We start from the raw sequence: 24,234 nt of genomic DNA on the forward strand, positions 1-24,234 counted from the left end.
TTCTGCATTTTAAGTCCTCCTGTAGCATTCAATGTTTTCTGTGAAGGAAAACATTGAGAAGGTGTTAAAAATTTTAATTGGTCTCTAAAAGACTAAGGTGATACGTTGTCCAGTAGAATGCATGCCATCTGTCTTATTCACTGCTATGTCCTCAGGATCTAACACATTTTCTGATACACATAAGATGCTCAATAAATATCTGTGGAATGAAAACTGTCCTGTGTAATGGGAAAGTATTCAGGTGGCCAAAATAAAAAGGCCTAAAAGAGAATGATATGTTTTGTAAACTTACAGTTGAGATGTTTTCATATAGTGCTTTGTGGGACTTAAGTTAAAAGATCAGCTAATGATTTTGCAATGAGTAAAAACTACTATTCAATCAGTCCAGGAGGGACGGAAAAGAGAAAAAAATATCAGTCCAGCATCCTACTGTGAGGGATTAGCTTTTATATTTATCTTACATAAATGAATGTTTGTATGTCCCACTCTTCTCCACTCTGAGATTTTTTAGTTAAGGTTATGTTGTTCTCTTGATATCGCAATTAATTTGTTGATTACTGTTAACTCATTCTACATTTGGCAAATAAAAACAACAAAATAATTCAGTGGTCAGTGATCTTTCAGAATACGTCACCTCTATATTGACTACCAACTGAGCTCGAGAGTATATTTTCTCTGTAAAATATGCTTGTATCATAGGTTCAGATGAGTGGTCACTGCAACCTGAAAACGGTGCTTTATGTGTTTATTAAACAGAAGTTTAAAAATTAAGAAAAACTCTTAAACAACTTAGGTATAATTTTCAGTTTGTATTATTTGCTAATCATTTTATCTTAGTTGATTTGATCTTAAAATGTGGGAATCTGAACATTGATTTAAGAAAAACTTCACATTTTCAACAGCTCATTTTGCACATGGGCAAGTCTGACCTATTTTCTACAGTTGGCACATAATTTATAATGGATCCATGAAATTTAGCTTTTTTCAAGCTCCAATATTATCAAGGCAACATATAATTTATTTTTAACTTTCAAATGTCCTATTATACAACAAAGTATGTTTTTCCATATTTGGGAAAATAGATGATCCTACCTTTCAAGAGAGGATGCCCTGTGTCCTCCTCACCCCTAATTCCAAACTGCAACATACATTTAGAACAAGCAGAGTATAATACAATACAGATCACTGAAAAAGGAGGCATTCTAAGAGAACAGACTCAATCCCATAGAGAAAGAGAAAATGGGGACTGAGGAAAGAGAGGGAGGTATATGCTATTGATAATCTCACAAGAGAACACCATCATCTAAGAAAGCCAGACTGTGGGCCAGGTGCTATGGCGCGTGCCTGTAATCCCAGGACTTTGGCAGACTGAGGCAGGAGAATCCCTTGAGCCCAGAAGATGGAGGCTGCAGCGAGCTGTGACCACAACACTGAACTCCAGCATGGTCAACACAGTGAGATCCTGTCTCAAATAAAAAAGAAAGGACAGGGAAGGAAAGACTGTTCCCTACTAGGGGCTTTGTAAGAGGCATCCCATTTTAAATAAATGAATAAGCAACTGTTTCTCTGCATGATTCACCTCCCAGGTATAACTCTGCCAACTAGAAGAGAAACTGTTGGCTCTGAGAAGGAAGATGTGACCCTGATTTCAAGAAAAAATTCAGCTAAAGGGGCTTTTGAGATCCCAGTGTTTCCTGCTGAGTTGGCAATAGGAGTATTAATGTCCACTTAGGAATATGTTGATCACAAGAATTAAGAACACAAACCACAATCCACCTACAAAATAATAAAACTACAATAAGCAAAGATAATTTATGGTCTTTTGATGTAAGGTCCTGGAACCTAATACCCTTTGCCCAAAATTAGGACAGAAATGTAGTTTATTTACAATTTTAGATACTAGCACTTTTTTGCATTTCTTACCTCATTGCACTTGCTTATTCTCCTTGCAACAATAAGCTGGATCATTCCTCGTTTATTGCCTTCAGTAGACATAGACCTTCTTAGGGTTTCCATGGCATCTTGGTTTGTCTTGCCCAACAGGGATTCTCCATTTACTGCTATCAGTTGATCATTCACCCGAAGCCTTCCATCCTGGGAAGAAAACAGGTAAAAATAAGTGCTATTAAACAGACTGCTATAAAAGAAGTAGCTTTTCCTTTAGTTAATAAATAAAATAAAAACAAAGCAAAAAAAAAAAAAGTGGGGAGCTTTAATCCTAATGGATTATGCCCAATTGAACGCTGGCATAATAACGTCTAAGCAGCTATTGTAGCCTGTGTCTATTTCAATCATTTATACATTTGTAAATCAAGTCATTATCATAATCTGTTTACCAAAATAGCATACTAATTCAAAGGACACAAAGTGATTACTTTCTTGCTTCCAGAAACACCCATAGAGGTTATTTAGAAACCAAGACATGTAAAAGCTCAAGGCTATTAGACAGTTGCAGAGAACTGTCCCCTTAACAAATGGCCAGGAAATTTTCTCTAGGCTGAGAAATAGAGTAAGTGACCCACAAACAGGGGAGGGGAGGGGAAAGATTAACGTCTACTATACGCCCATTCTGTGACAGGACCTATGCCAAGTCTTTGCATTGATTAACTTCATTTAACTAGCATGTCAATGGGTTGTATGTTCTGTGAGAGAAAAAATGAAAGGTTGAAGTTATGGACTCCATCCCCACGTGACACATCACTGATACACCTAGTTGTTTAAATGTGAATGTGGGTACCATAAAGAAATGAGAAAACTTCTGTTAACTGTATATGTTTCCAAAATAGGAACAGGGTTGAAATTAAAATTTTTGTTAATAGGCATACGCATGATAAAGTTGACACTCACTTTAGATGCTGCTCCTCCATTAATAATGGACTTGACAAAGATTCCCAAATCTGCGTGGTTCTCTTTTGACCGGTTACCTTTGACACTGACACCAAGGCCTGCAGATCCTGAATCATTAAGTGGGACTTCAAATGTCAGAAATTCCCTGGTGCCATCAGGTGTAAGAACAATATCCTCATCTTCTGCTTTCTAATAGGGAACAAAATTGCACAGCACATTATAGTCCAATGTTTCTTTCTCAAAGTTATTTTTAAAGACTGCTAATGAGCAGTTCCTTAATCATAAGAGGCAAAATATTTCCATGAAGGTTCCACAGCAAGATCCATGAAAACACTACATCTGCACCCACTCCAGAAGATTCTTGGAACCAGCTGTTAATATTTTTATGTAGCAATTATTCAATATTGAACCAAACTTAAATCAGATTTGAGAAAGATAGAGGGAAAATGTAGTGGAAGGACTAAAGACTAGTAGATTTCTAGAGTTCGGGATTTTTTTGGTGTAATCATATATTCTAAACGACAAGAAAAACAGTAACAATGGGAGTAAAAATAAATAAATATAATTCATTTATCTCCCTTTTTATGAGGAAATTCTGAAGTTATCAATATATTTAATGTTCACTAATGGTGTTTATTCACAAAAAATAACAAATCCTGATCATACAAAATCAGCAGAAAAAGGTATATGGGTTCAGAGAGCCTCTAAAGAATTCTAACATCAACATCTGTGAGACAAAGTAGAGATATACAACATCACAGAAAACTTTTCCACAATATTGTAGCATACATAATATAGCTGGTAAATATTATTCAGGTAATCTTGTTTAATTAGTTAAGATTTAACTTCATAGTCACCAAGCATAGAAGGAAGACTTTTTAAAATAAAAAACATTTAGGATATACAAATTATTGTTCACCTCCCTTAAAACAGAGGAAGAAATGAAAGCTTAATGTAGAACTGAATAAAATGCATTAAGATGACAGCCTATCATTAAGAAAGCCTACACTCCAGAAGAGGAAGCACTCAGCCTTCTGAGCTCCTCCTCCTCAGCAATCCCGCCCATGACCAAGATTTCCACCATCTCTATACTGGTCATGTCCAAATCAGTAAGGCTAGGATGCTTGTTCAAGCACAAACTCTTGCTCCAACCACATAACAGACACGTGGCACAGGCTCTTCAAGTAAAAACTGAATGGCACATCTAGTCCTACAACCTATTTCTCCTCCTCTTTTCCCACGTTTGAAATATTTCTCCAGCATCTGTTTAGTCATTCAAGCTTGACTTATCAAATTATAATTGAAGAATAAGAAATACAGTGGTACACAGATATGTAGGAATATATACTTTAAACAGATTGTGCTTTTACAGAATGTTCAATAACACAAAAAAAGTAGGTGACTGCATCCTACCAAATTTTTAAAATGTCCTAATAAGAATAAAAATCAACCCAAGGAATTTGGAATTCAAGGAAATTTGGAATGCAAGGAATTTGGGGCATAAACATGCAATCTCAGATGTCTCAATTAGATAAAATACATTTTGAGAGTACACTATCTGTAAGTGAATTTTTTAGATCATCATAAAATAAGCAATATGCTATTTATAAATCTTTAGACCCATAGTAATGTGATGTTTCTAATTTACAAATATGTAAAGTTAACATTTTATGGTAGGACATCTTTGTGCTATCTCAAAGGATGGCCTGATAGTTTTTAAAGACAAGTAACACTTCAATTACAATAAACTTGCTAATGGGTTAAAAAAAAAATTAAAACTTATATAATGAAGAACTCAAAATAAGAATCTGAAAAAATACAGAGTAATAGTCATGTTAACTATGCAAAGTAAATACATTTATGATCAAAGTCCAAATAAAGCCTTAAGCCTGCTCATCATAAAAACTAGATTTAAAATATTCCCAGGCTGGGCGTGGTGGCTCACGCCCATAATCCCAGCACTTTGGGAGGCCGACGCAGGTGGATCACGAGGTCGAAGCAGGTGGATCACGAGGTCAGGAGATCGAGACCATCCTAGCTAACATGGTGAAACCCCATCTCTACTAAAAATACAAAAAATTAGCCAGGCGTGGTGGCGGGCACCTGTAGTCCCAGCTACTTGGGAGGCTGAGGCAGGAGAATGGCGTGAACCTAGGAGGTGGACCTTGCAGTGAGTGGAGACCATGCCACTGCACTCCAGCCTGGGCGACAGAGCAAGACTCTGTCCCATAACAAAAAATAAAATAAAATAAAATATTCCCAGAGAACAATTTTAGCTCAAATAAAACCAATGTATTGTGGGCAAAAAAAGATCAAATATATCAAATACTTTGATACAAAAGTATCTTTATATACATGCTTTGCTCTATAAACATGAATATTCAATATACTTTTTATTTTGGTCCATGTAGCTCAAAACAAGTGTTTTTGTTGTTTGTTTTTTTGAGACAGTCTCACTCTGTCACCCAAGGTGGAATGCGGTGGTACAATCACTACTCACTACACCTTTGACCTCCCCAGGCTCAGGTGATCCTCCCACTGCAGCCTCCAGAGTAGCTGGGACTACAGGAACATGTCAACAAACCGGGCAAATTTTTGTATTTCTTTAGAGATGGGGTTTCACCATGTTGGCCAGGCTGGTTTCAGACTCCTGGGCTCAAGCAATCCACGCACTTTGGCTTCCCAAAGTATTGGGCTTACGTGCCCAGCCCCTTGAAACATTTACAGAGTACGAAATAATGACTATGTGTGAATGAACTGCACTACCTCAATATAAAATCTGTTACAAGAATATAAAGTACGGTAAATTTTGATGTTTAAAATACAAAACAACATCAATACACATCATAGTTCCCCTTGACTTTAAATTTGGAGGTTGCTGAAATAAAAAATTATTCTGTCAATCAGTACTTATAAGCATGGAAAAGCTACATTTGAAAAAATGGAAAACAAGAATATTCTTTCTATGGACACACCTAAGTCTCATCACTCACTATGCTTACTTGCTTCAACTCTGGAAGGTTCTTAATTGTTACTTTCTGATTTGAATCTTCAGTTGCCTTTTCAGTGTTTACTGAGTTTTACATTTCCATAACATTTTACCAAGGCTTACAATTCTCATATTTTTCCTACTTGAAAGATCAGGATAAGGAGCTGGCTGCATATATGAAGAAAAATTTTAATCAAGTTGCAATATTTTCTGATTGCTGAACTCTGAACCTGTTTTAAAGAAGAGCATATTCTCCAGGGGATAGTTTATTTATTATAACAACTGCAGAATGGGAATAATCTTTTTCAGCTTTCTTACCAAGTCTTAAGTCATTATTATCATTAAGAACACTGATGTGAAACATTGTATGTTTCATGTGATATTCCACTATTAATCCATTTGGCTTTTGACATAGACAGAAATTAATGCCAGCTTTTAGAACTTAGTTCTCTGGCAGAAAAATGTTTTTTAAAAATTGTGCTCTTCAAAAATCATTTGAAATGCTATATTACTGAGAATGTTCATAAAGTCAGATAGTATAGGAATCTCCATATTCTGATGTAAAATAGAAACTAACTTTCTATCACCTTGCTATTCCATCCAAATTCTGCACCTTATCAACTGTTTCTCGAATTAAGATCTTTCTACAGAAACGCAAAAAATGTCTTTTCTTTAACTCACTCCTCATGTCATCTGGGCACAGTCATGTCACTCAAGCACACCTGCCTCACGCACATACATGTGTGTATACCTCAAGTGATTGTTTTCAGCAACAAAGCCTGTCAGTTCTTCCTTTGCCCATTTCTCCATTACCATTTGTTGTCTTTAAATGCCCAGAATAAAAGGGCACCTTTGCTAAGGAACCTGCTGAATGGGTATTGTGAAAGCTACTTACTATCCCACCCTCCAGAGAACAGCAGAAAAGATGTACATTTCTATCTGCAGTGAGACAAAGAGTCACAAGTGGGCACCATCATGGCCCCCTTTTCCTTCTTCCCGAAATCACAGTCCAAAAAACTGAGAATAGAGCTGGCCTATAGGCCCAAATCCACAGTTAATCTGCAGCAAAGGTGTTATCTATAAAAAAGGAAATAAGAGTTGATTGTGTCAAGCAGCAGAAAAACAATCATGGGAAGGGTAATCTCTGAGCCGCAACAAACGAAAATTTGGATGAGAATGTACAAAATATTGTGAAGAGAGGCAAAAGAAACATGGAATGTGCACAAATGATAGAAGACCATAAAATTATAGGAGTGAGCTCAATAGCCGATTTTTGGCTTTGTAACAAAATACGTGACTCAGCAAAAGTTTCATCACTCCACTATAAATCATTAATTTCTCTCTCTCAAGATCTGCCCTTATCTACAGAATTATCTTTTTTTTTTTTAAAGACAGGGTCTTGCTCTGTCATCCAGGCTGGAGTGCAGTGGCATGATCATAGCTCTCCATAACCTTGAACTCCTGGACTCAAGTGATTATCCCGCCCTCAGCCTCCCAAGTAGCTAGCTGGGACCCCAGGCACACCACCAAGCCTGACTAACTTTTTCTCTTTTTTGTAGAGACAGGGTCTTGATATGTTGCCCATGCTGGTCTCAAACTCCTGGGCTCAAGCAATCCTCCCACCTTGGCCTCCCAATATGCTGGGATTATAGGCAAGAGCCACCATGCCCAGCTGAGTTATTAGCAAATAGCTAGTAAATTAATGCAAAAATCCCTAGTAAATTAATAACAAAAAGATAAGCAGTCTGCATCAAACAGGAAAAGGATGTAAACAAGCCATTCACTAAAGAAAGATGAGCAAACCAATAAATCAACCTCCAAGTACAAGGTTCAATCTTACTCGCAAATCAATCAAAGGTTATCAAATTGCTCCATATATTTTCTTCAAATTAATGATATCCAACAAATACTGCTTTGCCATAGAACACTAAAAAATAAATAAAAATAATGATATTTAATACTGGTGTGGTGAAATGCGCATGTTCTTGCACTGCTGGTGAATGTAAAAAAATGGTACAATATTTATGGAAACCAATTTGACAATGCTTACCTAAACCTTCTACAGTTTGCCATTTTCTTAAGCTAGAAATATTACTTTTAGTGATATGGCCTACAAAAATAGTTGTGATCATGTACCAAGTTTTAACTGTGAGGATATTGTTTTAATTACAATAGCTAAAAATTGACATGTATGAAAGTCAGGAAAATTAAGATCTATCTACACAATGGAATGCCATTCAGCTAATAAAGTGTCTTAGCAAAATAATATGTAAGACAAGAAAGTATTTGTGACTAAGAAATTGAGTTTTACCCTTTGGACTTCCATAACTTCCAGTACACCCATCAAAAACCTCCATAACATATTTTTATGAATTAATGTCTGCCTTCAAAGATCACTAGAAGCTTCACAAGGTAGGAATTTATGTCAGTCTTCACTCGTGCCTGGGGCATGACATTTATTAACAATAATAGGATATGTGGCTGGGACATGATACATATTAGTTAAATAGGTAGACAAGAACATCTTTTTACTTATTTATTTTTTCTGAGATGGAGTCTCGCTCTGTTGCCCAGGCTGAAGTGCAGTGGTATGATCTCAACTCACTGCAATCTCGCTTCCTGGGTTCAAGCAATTGTCCTGCCTCAGCCTCCCAAGCAGTTGGGACTAAAGGCGTGAGCCACTACACCTGGCTAATTTTTATGTTTTTAGTAGAGACAGGGTTTCGCCATGTTGGTCAGGCTGGTCTGAAACTCCTGACCTCAGGTGACCCGCCCACCTTGGCCTCCCAAAGTGCTGGGATGACAGGCATGAGCCACCAAGCCAGAACAAGAAAATCATTTAAAAAAATACATTATCTTTGGCTAGGCTCACAGACACAAATATATATATGAAAAAATACATTAAAATGATGATACTGAAGTCACAGAATTACAAGTGATTTTAATTTTCTTCTACACATGACTGAATTTTCTACAGTTGATATGCATTATTTTTACAATACAAAAAATCCATTGTATACCACTTCTTTAATTCTGCTTCCTCAAAAAAACACTGCATGGGGGAGGAGAAATTGATAGAGGGTTATACAGATGGTCCACAACTTACAATGTTTCGACTTAATGATTTTTCCACTTTTGATGGTGCCCATGAAACCATTCTGTTGTTCACTTTCAGTACGGTATCCCATAAATTAGATAAGATATTCAACACTTTATTGTAAAATAACTTTGTGTTAATTATTTTGCCCAACTGAAGGCTAAGGTAAACCTTCTGAGCACATGAGGTAGGGTAGGCTGGGTTACAGCGTTGTAGGTTAGGTGTATAAATGCATTTTCATCATAACAATATTTTCAACATAGAGTGGGTTTACTGACAAATTTATGGGGAAGTAACCCCATCATAAATTGAGGGGCACCTGGATATGATGGGCAGGGGCTGTTGCTTGGGACAAAGATGGGCTATGAATGAGCACCTTAGGACAGCTCTAAAAAAAACCATGCCATGACAGCAGACCATCATAGCGTCACGCAGAATAGAAATTTTCATAGACATTAAAGAGAGAATATACTTATTCAACAAACAGAGATTAAATAATATGCAGGTAGGTATCTGAGACAATATGAACAACCATTTATATTTTTAACTAAGAGAAAGATTTTTTAAATGGAGAAATTATCATGGTTTTAAAATTTTTCTTAAATTTTTCTTAAATTTAAGAACCATGATAAACCTCTTAATAAAAGAATAACCCTCCAAAGAGACTCCAAAATTTCCTTAAGTTCCCCATTTTAATTTATCCCGTATGTGAGATGAACATTTCTGTATGTTATTTGTGTTGATATTATAAAGTTCATTATTCTTATCAGTAAAGTTCAAATGTCATATCTGGCTTTATAATGCCTTTTCTAATTCGAATGGTAGATGCCAAATACATTTTGAAAGACTTTTAAATTTTTTGCTTGGTAAAATAATGCTGAGGAAAAAATGTTTTGCACAATTATTAATCTCTAATGTTAACTCCCAAAATACTCACCCAATCAAAGAAACATCAGACAAACTCAAATTGAGGGACATTCTCAAAGTAATCTGCCCCTTCAAAAATTAAAAATTTGCCTGGAGTAATTTGTTCTTGAGAAAATATTAACAAACGTAATAGGTTAAAGGAGATTAAAGAGCCATGAGAACTTACTGCCATACATGATCCTGAATTGGAAACAGGACCAAATTCTATTCATACTTGTATTTCATTCATTCTCTCATTCATTTATGATATAAAGAACATTAATTGGGACAACTGATAATACAATCGATTTAATCATTTTCGTAACTATAACACAGTTATATAAGAAAATGTCCTCCTTCTGGCCAGGCGCAGTGGCTCACGCCTGTAATCCCGGCACTTTGGGAGGCAGAGGCGGGCAGATCACGAGGTCAAGAGATCAAGACCATCCTGGCCAACATGGTGAAACCCCGTCTCTACTAAAAATACAAAAATTAGCTGTGTGTGTTGGCACGTGCCTGTAATCCCAGCTACTCGGGAGGCTAAGGCAGGAGAATTGCTTGAGCCTGGGCGAGAAGGTTGCAGTGAGCCGAGATCGAGCCACTGCACTCCAGCCTGGGCAACAGAGTGAGACTTGGTCACACACACACATACACACACACAAACAATATGGCAGCCTACACTTGATCTATTAAGTGTTAGCAAAATAAACCTAATAAGGCCCATGCTTAATTTCTAGCTCATTAAATTTCTAACTTGAGACTCTAACCTTTCTGAAGTTAGCCTATCAAGATGGCTTCTGACCTTCAAAAAAGTTCCTAAAGAATCCCCAATGTATCCCTGTGGTTTCTGTAGGGAAAGCCCACTAACTTTCTAGAATGCATTTTGAATTCTTGAAAGTTAAGCATGTGGCTGGGCGCAGTGGCTCAAACCTGTAGTCTCAGCACTTTGGAAGGCCATGGTGGGTGGATTGCTGAAGGTCAGCTCGAGACCAGCCTGGCCAACATGGCGAAACCCCGTTCTACTAAAAATACAAACAATTAGCCAGGCTTGGTGGCGCATGCCTGTAATTGCAACTACTCAAAAGGCTGAGAAAAAGAATCGCTTGAACCCAGGAGGCGGAGGCTCCAGTGAGCCGACATCAGTGAACTTTGTTAATAAAGCAAGACAAATGCATTCTACAAATAAAAACGAACAAAGACAAATATGATAAAGAACTACAAAATGGGAGAGAACACTAGTTCCGGTTAGGGTAAGCCTCATGAGATAGGTAGAAGTCAGTAGGATTAGAAGTTGGCGTCCGTATGGACAGGCAAAGAAGGTGAGAGCAGGCCGGGCGCGGTGGCTCACGCGTGTAATTCCAGCACTTTGGGAGGCCGAGGCAGGTGGATCATGAGGTCAGGAGATTGAGACCATCCTGGCTAACACGGTGAAACCCTGTCTCTACTAAAAATACAAAAAATTAGCCAGGCATGGTGGCGGGCACCTGTAGTCCCAGCTACTCAGGAGGCTGAGGCAGGAGAATAGTGTGAACCCGGGGGGTGGAGCTTGCAGTGAGCCAAGATCGCACCATTGCACTCCAGCCTGGAAGACAGAGCGAGACTCCATCTCAAACAAAAAAAAAGAAGAAGGTGGGAGCAGCCCAAGTCAGGAGAAAGTATTTGCAAAACTGGTCACTGGGCTGGGAAAGGACAGAAGTGTCCATGCAGTAGTTAATGGAAATCAATGGTACTAAACGCGTGTTCTAGGAAAGCCTATGTATCAATCCATGAGCAATGTAAAAAAAAAAAAAAAAAAAAAATCAACAAGATCTCTTCCCACTATCTTGACTAATGAGATGGCATCTAACCCTGGATTTCTTTATTACTTGTTTATTTAAAAAAAATTCAGTCATAGTTTATCAGCCTCCAACATGGAACTCATACTGTATTACCTGAAACTATATATGTAGCTTAGCTTTTTTTTTTCCCCCCTCAACATACTAAGTCACATTAAGGAGAAATAAAATCTGCCCTGCAGATTCTGGTGTCAGACAACCTGAGTTTATGGCTGGCTCCAAGATTTGGAGTGTCCTAAGGTTAATTCTTTGTTCCTCCCCTTTCAATAGGATAATATCACCAACTAAGTCAAGCTTGTCCAACCTGAGATCTGTGGGCCGCATGTGGTCCAGGATGGCTTTGAATGTGGCCCAACACAAATTCCTACCTAAGCTTTCTGAAAACATTATGAGATTTTTGTGATTTATTTATTTATTTGTTTATTTATTTATTTATTTATTTATTTATTTATTGGCTTATCTGCTATCGTTAGTGTTAGTGTATTTTATGTGTGGCCCAAGACAATTCTTCTTCCAGTGTGGCCCAGGGAAGCCAAGATATTGGACGTGCCTGAACTAAGTCATGGACATTGTAAAGATTAAATAAGATAATCCACATAAAGAGTTTCACACAATAACTGATGAATAAATGCCAGTCATAGATAGGACTGCAACGTTATAAGCAATGTTAAGCATTAGAGGTGAAAGAAACTGTCTTCTATTTTTTGTAAGCCTGTATAAATCACATATAGTTCCTGACAGAAGTAATATATCTCCTGCAGGAAAAGAAAAAGAATCATAACTGTATGCACAGTTACCATTCCTGTGGTTTAAAGTTGATATACCATGGTTTGCTCCAAAATCAACCCTGAGAAAGCCCAAAATGAAAGTGAGCATTGGACTTGGATTTGTGGTGAAATCATTAGTGCTCCCCTCCTCCCCATTTCTAGGCATTGACAAAATAGATAATCAAAGATTTCACAGACCTAGAACCTAAAACAAGTCATTAAGAAACACTAATAAAAAGAGCAAAAGCCTATCACGGAGTTTTCCTTGAGCAATACTATGTGCCAAGAACTAGCAATATTCAAAAAGCCTAAAACAGATCCTTGGCCATCAAAAGGTAGAAAGGCAGAGACTGTGCCCCTGTCAATTTCTTAAATTATCATGTTAATATTAAGCCTTTTACAACTCAAAATGATACCGCATACCTGGAGCACAAAGAGAGGCACAGATGTGAGAGCACGCATAAAAAATTAAGAAACAAATAATATTTCAAACTAAACTATACTTTTAACTTTGTTTGGGAAACTCGTATTAGAAAAAAAAGTCCAAGCGTAACTAGAAGTCAGACACATGTAAAAGTATATATGACTTCCTTTTTTAAGGTGACTCCCAGTCACCATGTCATGCTACCATAAACACACAGGTTGTGAACTGAAATGCAGCTTGCATTTCTTAACAGAATACCACATCAAAAGATGCTTCTTTCCCTCTGGTGACTGAGGAATTCACAGCCGATCATCAGTTTCCTCAACACGACTGACTACATGTTTTTTATTGTTGTTTATTTTTAACTTTTTGGTAGAGATGAGGTCTCGCTGTGTTGCCCAGACTGGTCTTAATCTCCTGGGCTCAAGTGATCCTCCCAAAGTGCTAGGATTACAGGTGTGAGCCACTGCACCTGGCCCTGACTACATGTTTCGAAAGAACATCCCTATCTTTACTACTTAAAGCATCATTTTCCATCTCAGATTGTCTCAGACATTAATAGATGGAGTTTGTGTGCAAAGTCATTGAGTTTTCCAAAATATTCTATGATACTTATCCTAAACCATAAAGGAATAGCTCTTCCCCTAAGGATCACATTGTAAATACTTCCTCCTTTTGCATTTATTCTATAACTATTTCATGGTACAGATACAAATGGGGTGTGTGTGTGTGTGTGTGTGTGTGTGTGTGTGTGTGTGTAAATGACTGTGGATCTATTTTGTTTTATAGATCTTTTCCATTTATTTTGAGATATGGTGAGAAAAAGCTAACTTTTCTAAATAAATGGGCAATTGTTATAAACACTACGTAAACTATCCTTTTAAAGCTACTAATTTGAAGTGCCATCTTTAACACACATGCACATACCTATGCACATCATGTCAGTTTCTGTAACCCTTAATCTGTTTAAATGATCTATTTGTTTAACCCTATAACAATGCCATGCTGTTTTAGGTATTGTAGCTTTATATTATATATACTCTGCCACAATTATTGTCTTTTCAAAGAGTAGTATAAATTGCTATTGTACCCCATTTTATTATTTAGAATCAATTTGTCCAATTTCCCCTTATCTAACCTACCCCAACACATAAATATCAGTGTGATTTTGATTAGATATAATTGCCCTATTTATTTTATAAGCCAAAAATTAAAGCTAGGAATTGTCTACAACACACACTTATTAATGTGGAATATTCTCAAGGTTGTTTACTGATTTTCCTCCAAGATGTAATTTGTCACCTGTTTTTAGAATTGTGGAATATTTATAGGAGGATCACTTGAGCTCAGGAGGTCAAGGCTGCAGTGAGCCATGAAATATGGTGAGATTCTAGACTCAAAAAAAAAAAAAAAAAAAAAAAAAAAAAAAAAAAAAAAAAAAAAACAACGAAGGAATATTTGAAAAATAACATTAGTTCAAAGTTGCCTGTTTATAAAGCTGTACAGAAAATGAAACCTGTTTATTATGTTATTTAAATTCATTATATTTTTTCTTTAGTCAACAATGTAAAAATTTTTGGAAAGGGACATATTGACATTACCTACTATGGAAATGACTTTGCTAAATTTTCCATTTACGATAGTTTGAGAATGAATGTTTTTGTGCTATGTTGTTTGATGTAAAAAGGAAAAAAGATCCTGATTGTTAGAATTTCTACCATGTCAATATAAAATGCCCTTTTTACTCCCATATAGCGCATCATCACAGAGACTGATAGAGCAATCCTTCCTTTTATTGTGTTAGTTCTGCCTGCTGGAACTAAGCTTACTCTTTTATCCCCAGTCTGTCTCAGGACTTGTTTTCTTAACAGGATGCAACTATGTTTGCATTTTAATGTGAGCTGTGAGTCCTTAACTTTTGTTAAATTATCTCTTTTATAGTTATTCTAACAACTATGCTTAGCCTAATACTGACACGTCACTTTAATTTTCCTGTGTATACTTTTTTTACTGTATTCTCTTAGCCCTCCCTTTTTTTCCATGATTGAATCAAGTTTTTTAACTTTTCTTTCCATTTTGTGGCCACTTATAATTTAGCATTTCACAACTCATGAAATACTTTGCATATATGCCAAACAACTAAGCTTTGGTCCTCACTTTGCAAGTGAATAGGAAGTCTCTCTCTTTTTTGCGTCTATCTGACCAAAATTAATCACAAAATATACTCCATTTGGGGTGGTAACAGTAAGTCACCTTAAAATAAGACCACTTTGGCATTTAATAAACCCATGTATTAAATATTACGAGCCAGGAAAAGGCAGGACAAGTAACTTCGTATTAAATTAGTAAGAAGTTAGTTCCATGTATCTTTCCAACATCTCTGCATCCTTCAAAAGACAAAGCTCTTACCGTTTCTTTTGGAATCTGCATCTGGCTTGGCTCTGCATTCTAGAAGAATTGAAGAAAAACATAAATACAGACTGACCAAAGCCATCTTCAACACACAGGGACACAATGATTTATTTTAAAGAAAATTTTGTTGATTCTTAAAATCCACAAAATATATAAAGGGTAATTATATGATGGCTGACATAATGCTCTGTCTTCCAAAATTTTGCTGATGTGTGTGTTTATGTGTGTGTTTTAAGAAATTTTTCTAGATATACATTTTTACTTGCTCATTCACAGTACATCATGAATTTATTATCTGGAGGAAAACAAGTCTCACCAAACTGCTTTCCTAATCATGGCACTGTTTCTAATTTTGCTTTAAAATTTTCCCAATCAAATCAAAGTTTTAAGGTATAGAATCATTTGATAACTAGACCAGATAATAACAGTTTGAACCACAGTCTGAACCACAGCTTTATACTTTAAAATGTTGCACAGGAAATAAACATGATTTTTTTTTCCTATAATGTTGATTTGCCTTAATTACCTAGGAACTTACAAGGATGATTTATTAAAAAAAGGCACCGATTGATAAAAGTATTTAGATTTAGACACACAGAATTTAAACACAGACACCCCAAACAGAGGAAAATAGTTACGTCTACTGGATTCAAGATTATTTTTAAATGTCCCCTCCCTTTAAATTTTCAGGATTTTATTCTCTTAAATTTTGAGAAGCAGCTGCAACATGCATAATAGACTGACGGCCTACTGGCGTACTCCTTAATGAAAAGCTCACAAGCAATAAATTACATAACCAAGAAAAAAAAAAAGTAGGTAGCAGAAGGGAAAAACAGAAGCCTGGAAGATCAAAATTGGACAAGAAGAACCTGAATAACCTTAAGCTGGCTATATGCTGGCACTAACTCTGGAAAAGGCTGCTTAAGAGCAGTGTCTAAGCTTTGGCAATCTAATAATGCTAACTAGTGCACTCCGAGACACTGAGGAAGAATTAAAGCTTCGGCAAATCACATGGAAAGCTAGTTGTTTTTTTTTTTTAAGTGCTCATTTACAATTTAATAGAGACATCTCCAGATTTAGGATCAGGTGGCATTTTAAGCACAAAATTGGATAACAGTGGGGGGAAAACGAAAAACTGAATTTAAATTGAGAAATAATGCATTAAACATTTTTAAATATAAAGAAGTTTTCATAATTTATTCAAAATCTACTTAAAACAAAAGTGTTCACTTTTCAACCCTATCACTGTCTGAAATTTCCACAAAATCCACATTAAGTTTTAAGACCTGTGTGTAACCAGGGGATAAGATATTATGACTAAAATTTTTTCATTTATAATATTTATAGAAATAGTTTATATAGAGAATAAAATATAGTTATTTTTATCATAACACATCCATACTTGAAGACACAAGAGAATTTGGGCTATATGATAAATTTGGAAACCTCGTTTCTAAAACCTTGTCACTCTAGATTATACAAATTAATTTTTGTTTAGCACTAAGAGCTAGATGAAAAGGATGTATTCCAAAATGATCCAAGTAGAATCTGTTTTGAAATATTTAAAATACCACTTGTACTTGAAATAAAACAATTTTCTTACCACATCAAAAGACAAAGGCAACTCCTCCAATTATGTCATTTTTATATATAAATGAAACCTAGCACTTTTGCAGAAAACCACTCAGAACTATGTACATTTAAGACACTTATTTCATTCACACCAATACCATGTAAATACTCAGATGTATTAATGTATGTATGGAAAGTGAAGGAGATAGGTTGCAAAAGTTGTAAATGCCTTTTCATTTCCTTCATTTATGTCATCCTAAGTAACATGACCTATATTTGTATAATTAATAGCCATGAGGCTTATTGCCACTTAGGTCTTTTTATTTTTAATAATAATTTTTTTAAAAAGGTATTCCTTTTCATACAACAGTAAGGAAGCAAGCATCTATTTGGCTTACTGACATGTACTATGAAAATGTGAAATATGAAAATTTGTCATATGCAGTGTGGAAGATGGCAAGCTTTCAGCGACAGTCTGTGGAGTGACAGTTCTGAAATAATCGGCGTCTCTGTATTCAGTCAGTCCATCTGAGGGTGTACAGTGATGAACATTTGATGCCCTTGAAAATATCCCTACAGTCTGATGTTTAAGTACCCCTCCATTCATTACTGAGGATATCCATTTCTGAAACTAAGGGAGTATTAGAGAAAAGAATGTTTGTATTCAGTGAGGGCTGAAAGAAATATAAGATCTAGAAACTCCTCAGAAAATGTCTCAATAAACATTTGCCATCAGGCAACTAACCCAGACCCCTGGCTGCTGCATATCAGAAATCTTTCATCTACTCTAAATTTACACACCAGTTCCCTTGGGTGGAAGGCGTCTTCCTGGCGAAAGACCAGAAGGCTCACAGTTCCTTCCATCTTGGTGCTTCTCAACAGCGAAACAACTTCCTCTTGGGATTTGCCCACTAAATCTACTCCATTTACCTAAAACAAAACAAAAGTTTTCAGCTGTAATCCTGTGGAAACAACAGGAAAACACACACACACACACACACACACACACACACACACACACACTCTAGGACTAGCCATATCTGCTATGGAACATAACTCATTTCATGCACAATTCTGCCATGATCTGGGAACCACTAAGGTTTTGTGACTAATAAAGAAACTAAGACCAGATATCTAGAAGAGAGGAAGTGGTCAATCTTTTAGTGTTCATCATTAAACCCAAAGTGACAATCACCAGGGCATTGACAAGTACCAAGCAATAAATATTTCAAAAATGTCAAGTTAACACAAAACTTACTGGCTTAGAACAGAGATATTTTGATAGCCTTGTGCATCATAGGTTTTCTTACACCAAAATAAAAAGGTGTTGCTCTTATAAAGGGTAATAAAAACACACCAAAAATATTTTGGTACAGTATTTTCACTTTAAATGAAATTTTACTGATAAATATAAATAAAACACTTTACCTCTAAAAGGTAAACATTAAAGAAACTACAAAACAATATTTTTTAGCAGGGAAGCAATATTTCAGCTGAAATTTTTTCAATGTTATGAGAGAATTCAAGCAGGAAAAAAATTTAAAACAACTTGTTCTTAGGGAATCTTTTATCTAACAGGAAGTATAACATCATTATCAGAAAGCACTATATACTCCACAGAAATGAGAGCATATGTTTCCTTTAAAAGGTATTCTACATTTTTCTTTTTAGACAAAAAAGACATTTTGTCCAAGGCAAATAAGTTTATAACTTAAATTACAGTATCAAAATTTTCCTGTAGTTAAAATATATTTCAGAACATTTCCCCTTCTGAAAAAAATCAACCTCATATACCTCAAGGTACTACTATTAAGGAATTGCAGACAGAAGGACTGAATTCAAGTTCCAGTGGAGACTCTTACAAAATAAAACAAGCTACGACTGCACACATGGGCTAATATACCACTCAATTTATACCCCAAGGACAAGCGGCCTTTTCAGGAAGCAGAACCCTAAACATAATTTGTACTCAAACAAAAGAAAGTGAAAAAAAATCTAGACAATTAAGTCACTTGATCCTTTTTTCTTTGTATGATTCTAATTATCTAGACACTCAGAGAAAATGCACGTAAGTATCAATATTGTATAGCTACAACTGTAGATACTAGAAGGTTGGGCTTAAAGCATGCAAAAATGAAGTTTCCATTTTAAGACAAAGATGACAGCTATGGAAATAAAGCCTAACTCGAAAGACATGCAGGTTGCAGGTCTTTCTCACTGCTTTAAAATAAAAAGGTTTTTCTGATATGTTGAAAGTAAAGCGATTATGTGATAAAAGAAAAAAGTGACTCAATAATAAAGCAATTATCTTTAGAAAGAAAGACGGAGAGAGCCAGAAAAGGACAGATATTTTTTTGGACTCAGAAGACAGGAGGACTGAATTCAAGTCCCAGCAGAGACTCTTACAAATAAAACAAGCTACGACTGCAGACGTGGGCTAACGTACCACTCAATTTATAACCCCAGGACAAGTGGCTTTTTCAGGAAGCAGGACCCTAACATAATTTGTACTCAAACATCTGTTATTTAGCTTCTAACAGTGCCTATTTAACATACGTTGTCACATGCACAGGACCAAAACAGTGGGAATAAAATTTAAGGGATCTAGGCTCCAAATGTAGACATGGAAAAAAATACAGACGGTATCCCTCTCCTCCCCTACTTTACAAAAATTCTTTAGGAGAACTCAATCTGGAGAGATAGAAACCATATATGAAACTATAAGAAAAAAGGATAGTGTGGTAAAAGTTTACCTTAGCATTAATATTTGAATACTAGTTAATTAGGAAATGCAGTATCTGCTAATAAAAATACAGACTATATTTTCTTTAAAAAAAACTAAGAAAAATGGTTTAAAACATATTTTTCAATTTTCTCTTTTATGTGCAAACCATCACACAAACACAAATTATGTATGTTAATCTATTTCCAAGGCAGCTTCAAATACCAATGAACCCAAACTCATAAGACATAGAAAAAAAATTCAAAAACGATTTTTCTTTTCTTTCCTGACATTTGACTCTTATGACTCAATTTATTCTCCATGCTGCCATTTCAAGATTTCCTTGCTCCTCTTATCAAGGAACACTGTTTTCATTTATTTCATCTGTCTCTGTTCTGAATACATTTCCACATTGCCAGACATAAATATAAAGCCATTTAGAAACGTAACCTTACAGACATTTTATATGACAAAATGTTACCTCATAAACCAAATGTCTGAGTAACTAAAAATTTATAACTAAACTAAATGGGGCTGGGCATGAGGGCTAACGTCTGTAATCCCAGCATTTTGGGAGGCCAAGGCAGGAGTTCAAGGCCAGCCTGGCCAATGTGGTGAAACCCTGTCTCTATGAAAAATACAAAAATTAGCCAGGCATGGTGGTGCACGCCTGTAGTCCCAGCTACCAGGGGGGCTGAGGCAGGAGAATCACTTGAACCCAGAAGGTGGAGGCTGCAGTAAGCTGAGATTGTGCCACTGCACTCCAGCCTGGGCGACAGAGCGAGACTCCATCTCATAAAAAAAAATAAATAAATAAATGGAAAGATAATTTCTCATCAGATAACATGGAAAAAAGAGCTGGGCACGATGGCTCACACCTGTAATCCCAGCACACTGGGAGGCAAGAGGATCGCCTGAGGCCAGCAATTCAAGACCAGCTGGGGCAACATAGCAAGACTCTGCCTCTACAAAAATTTTAACAATTAAAAAAATATATATAAAAAATAACATGGAAAATCTAAACATAAAACAGAAACACATTTTGTGACGCATACTTCCGCTAAAATGTATATAACTGAATTTCATATTTTATGAAAATGTTTTTAAAAGTTGGCTCCTGGAAATGGAACATTTCAAGAATCAGGGAACATCCTGCTGGGGAAGTCACTTACCTCTATAAGTCTGTCTCCTGCCTTAAGTCGGCCATCCTGAATGGCCGCCCCCCGGGGGAGAATGTTTTTCACATAGATTGGAGCTGAGCCACCTATTGTTACATCTCTGGAAGTGATGCTGAATCCCAAACCTTCTGTACCTAGGTATGTGAAGGAGAAGAAAAGTAAATAAAATGAGATATCTTGAATTTTACAGGTGTATTGCACCAGTATACTCAACCTCAACTTGACATTTTGTAACTTTCACAATGGTCCACATTTCTTCTACTACTTTAAAAGTTGTAATAAATTTTTCAAAATAGACTAAATTGTGGAAGGTTTAAATGGTTTACATATCAACAGTTATTAATCTAAGAAGAAACAGCAATCTTCTCAAAGACAGATGAAAGTTAATATGTAAATATGACTGCTAAAAGTTTTTAAATCAATGTAAATCTTTGAATAGGAAATTCACTACATGAAGAAAGAAAAAAACTTCTGTTAAGACCCACAGTACCTCAAAACTCAAGTATTATTGTGCAATAATGACATCCAAATTTTAAGGGTAGGAGGTATGAGCAAGGGAAACAAAAATGTCCAGGGAGATGGAAAAGAACAGTGAAATGAGAGGTATCTCTAGATAGAGGTAATGGAACCTCCCAAAATCATAATTATTCAAAGCAGTTTACTAAGAGGATAAACCATAAACCAAATTATCTTTGCCTAGTTCACTTCTAATTCACCTAAATCTTACCATGTATATTTCCTTCACCACCCCCCACTCCCAAACAAGGCAAATTACTCAGTGAAGACTCCATCTCAGATCATGGCTACCAAATCTGGGGATCATATTATGCTTAAAGGTACTAAATTAATGATGCATTTATAAATTACTCTGATGATTCACAGAATTTAAATTCTCATTTCTTTGGCAGCTTTCTTGACAGACAGTCTTACATGCTCAATACAAAGCAGAAAAGTGTTTATATGTCACTAGAATCAAGACGCAAGAAGCCAACACGTGCCCAGGAAAAACTGGGGAGATAATGATACATTTGTAATGAATCACAACATTTTTACAATAATGATTTCTACCTAAGCTTTTTTAAAAAGTTACTTCTTAAGATATTAGTTTCCATTTCAGTTAAAATATTGTTAAGGCAAATGCTTGCTCATTATGGGAAGAATAAAGAGATCTGTAAAGGTGAAAAATCTAGAAAAGAGCACATTAATCTGATACATCACTCAGTATAAAACTGTAATGAAAAGTATAAAATATAAGTGAACAAAAAAGGGTGAATAAAAATGTAGATTAAAGAAACATTAAAGGAGAAATAAAGAAAACACTCCATAGTTATTCCTGTAGCAAAACCTACCATAGTTATTCTCAACATCAAACAAAGCATTCATTTACTTTAGTCTGAAGTCACTTTAGGGTGCTTGGACTATTAATATTTCTGATGTCTTCCATGCTGAACACCTGAATGGCATACTGTCTATATGAAATGTTTGTTATTGCTCTGGGGAGATTTTTCCATATGTCTCTGCTTTCATGAAACTCTAATGACTTGCAATAACATTTATTAAGAAAGAATTCTTAATTACTCTCCTTTTGCAATACTAACTTTTTTGAACTATGAATGCTGACTGTTGTAGGAACCTCAATACTATTAAAATATCAGCAACAACCCCTAAATCTGTAAGCTAAAAGTTCAGGCAATGACCTTTCAAGGAAAGATAAGTAGATATCAATTTTCATTTAACAAAGCCAACAAAACATTCTGCACTGACTGAAACAGATTACTGACCTTCTCCTCTGACTTTATTAAAAAGCTAATTTCTACAAAAGAGCTGGGTATTTGAGAATACCAAAATGGCAATAAATATTAAGAAATCATAATTATGGAAGCAAGTACACTGAGGCTATTCTGTTGTCATGTTATATAACATAGCTCCAAAATTAGGCCAAAGAATAATTATACTGACATCTTTTTTTGTACTAAGAGTTGATTCCAGTTTTTGAAGAACTGCTGCCACTCAAAGCACATTAGCTCACTTTGAACTGAATCTGAAGTTTAACACTGACACACCCTATGTTTTTAATGTACTTCACTAATAAATGTAATAACTTGTAAGAAAAAAATCTGCTAGCTACAAGGAAAGCCTGTTCAATTCTCCTACATTCATTATTATTAAAATATATGCATTTAGTCCTAATCAAAGATAATCAGCATTCTTCCCCACATTTATAGTAAACATAATTTTTATATAAAATATTTGTAAGTATTGGCAGCATGCACAAGCAGCATGTGCTTTTTGTCATACATTCTCACAGTTGGTAAATTAAAATCAAGATAGATCTATGGGACTCTATATCATTAAGATTACTCAAGGTCTGAAAAACACTTAAAACCATTGTTTCTCCTTTCAGTGATTAAGCATAGTCTTTCTAAATTAGCTTGTGTAAATGCAATCATATTTTTCATTAAATGCTATTAAAATAATATCTGTATTCAAAACAATGGTACCAGTTTTGTAAGTAAAATGTATCAATTTGATTTATTTATCACTTCAGACTTACTATAACATAAAAATTAGATATACTCATTATTTTCCTTTTTTTGGAGAATCTGTATTCTGTTTAATACTTTACCTTTATCTTCTCACTTCAGATTTCCTTTGTATTTCTCATTCTTTCATTAGCAAAACAATGGTACTTTTAATGGCAAATCACCTCATTTAAAAAGTTCATGTTATATCATGATTTGTCAAATATCCTAATTTTTGAAAAACCATAATTAACTAAATGAATATTGCTGTATCAGTGTAAAAAGGAAAAGATATTTATGAACCAGTATCTTTATGACAATGGTGAAGCAAAATACTGTACCTTTGTTTAGAGATATCAAGCAGAATTTTATTTTTTATACGATTCTATTTGTAGTTCTTGATATGTTTTTGGTTAAAAACAAGGGCCTGTCATTTAAGTAGAGCAAAAGGAGGAAAGAGGATGTGATATTTCTCTCATTTAGGAATTGACAGAGCTAAAGGGGTTTCTGTTGATATGACTCTGTGTTTGCAACGAGGCAAGCTGTCAACTCCTGATCATGTCAACCAAGTATTTAGAGCTTAAAAACCAGTAACCAGAAATAAGAAACTTGAGGTTCACATAAAGTTCACTGAAAGAATATGAGTTAGAAAGGAAACAGCAGTCTCAGAGTTTACAACCTTGTAAATGCTACCCCAAATGTAAAGAAGAATGGTCTGAATATCCGGATATGGAAAACATACTAGTAAGAATCTGTGGCCAACAGCCACATGACCTGAGGAAATAATGAACCTCTCTTGGAATCATTTCCATCCAACTATAAGAGTTGATGGTTGAGCCTATAAAAAAAAATATTCTTTATAATAATACCATTTTGAAAGACATGATTTAAAAATATATCAAAATGCTCAGCTAAAATGGATCAGGAACAGTAAAAGTGTATCTTGGTGCCTGGACGAAACAT

General features: G+C 35.5%; 1 protein-coding gene across 11 annotated transcripts in view, besides 1 other annotated feature; it reads right to left on the bottom strand.

Annotated features, from left to right (window-relative positions):
• Window positions 1-24,234, bottom strand: part of PARD3 (par-3 family cell polarity regulator) — a 705,736-nt gene that overhangs the window by 247,663 nt on the left and 433,839 nt on the right. For 6 of the 11 annotated variants that reach the window (NM_001184790.2, NM_001184791.2, NM_001184789.2 and 3 more), the window contains 4 exons: window positions 20,744-20,883; window positions 17,651-17,779; window positions 2,848-3,036; window positions 1,924-2,094 (listed from right to left, as the gene is read on the bottom strand). In NM_001184790.2, the coding sequence (NP_001171719.1) occupies window positions 1,924-2,094; window positions 2,848-3,036; window positions 17,651-17,779; window positions 20,744-20,883 (629 nt within the window). Of the gene's footprint in view, window positions 1-1,923; window positions 2,095-2,847; window positions 3,037-15,274; window positions 15,314-17,650; window positions 17,780-20,743; window positions 20,884-24,234 lie in introns of all 11 variants that reach the window. The other 5 variants (NM_001184785.2, NM_001184787.2, NM_019619.4 and 2 more) reach the window with 1 other exon arrangement.
• Window positions 23,754-23,883: an enhancer, noted in NCBI's record as "active region_3253". NCBI's record gives its function as "activates an Ori minimal core promoter by ATAC-STARR-seq in GM12878 lymphoblastoid cells {active_cell/tissue: GM12878}" and the evidence as "EXISTENCE:reporter gene assay evidence [ECO:0000049][PMID:35858748]".

Source organism: Homo sapiens, chromosome 10, assembly GCF_000001405.40.
Source record: "Homo sapiens chromosome 10, GRCh38.p14 Primary Assembly".
NCBI lineage: Eukaryota > Metazoa > Chordata > Mammalia > Primates > Hominidae > Homo > Homo sapiens.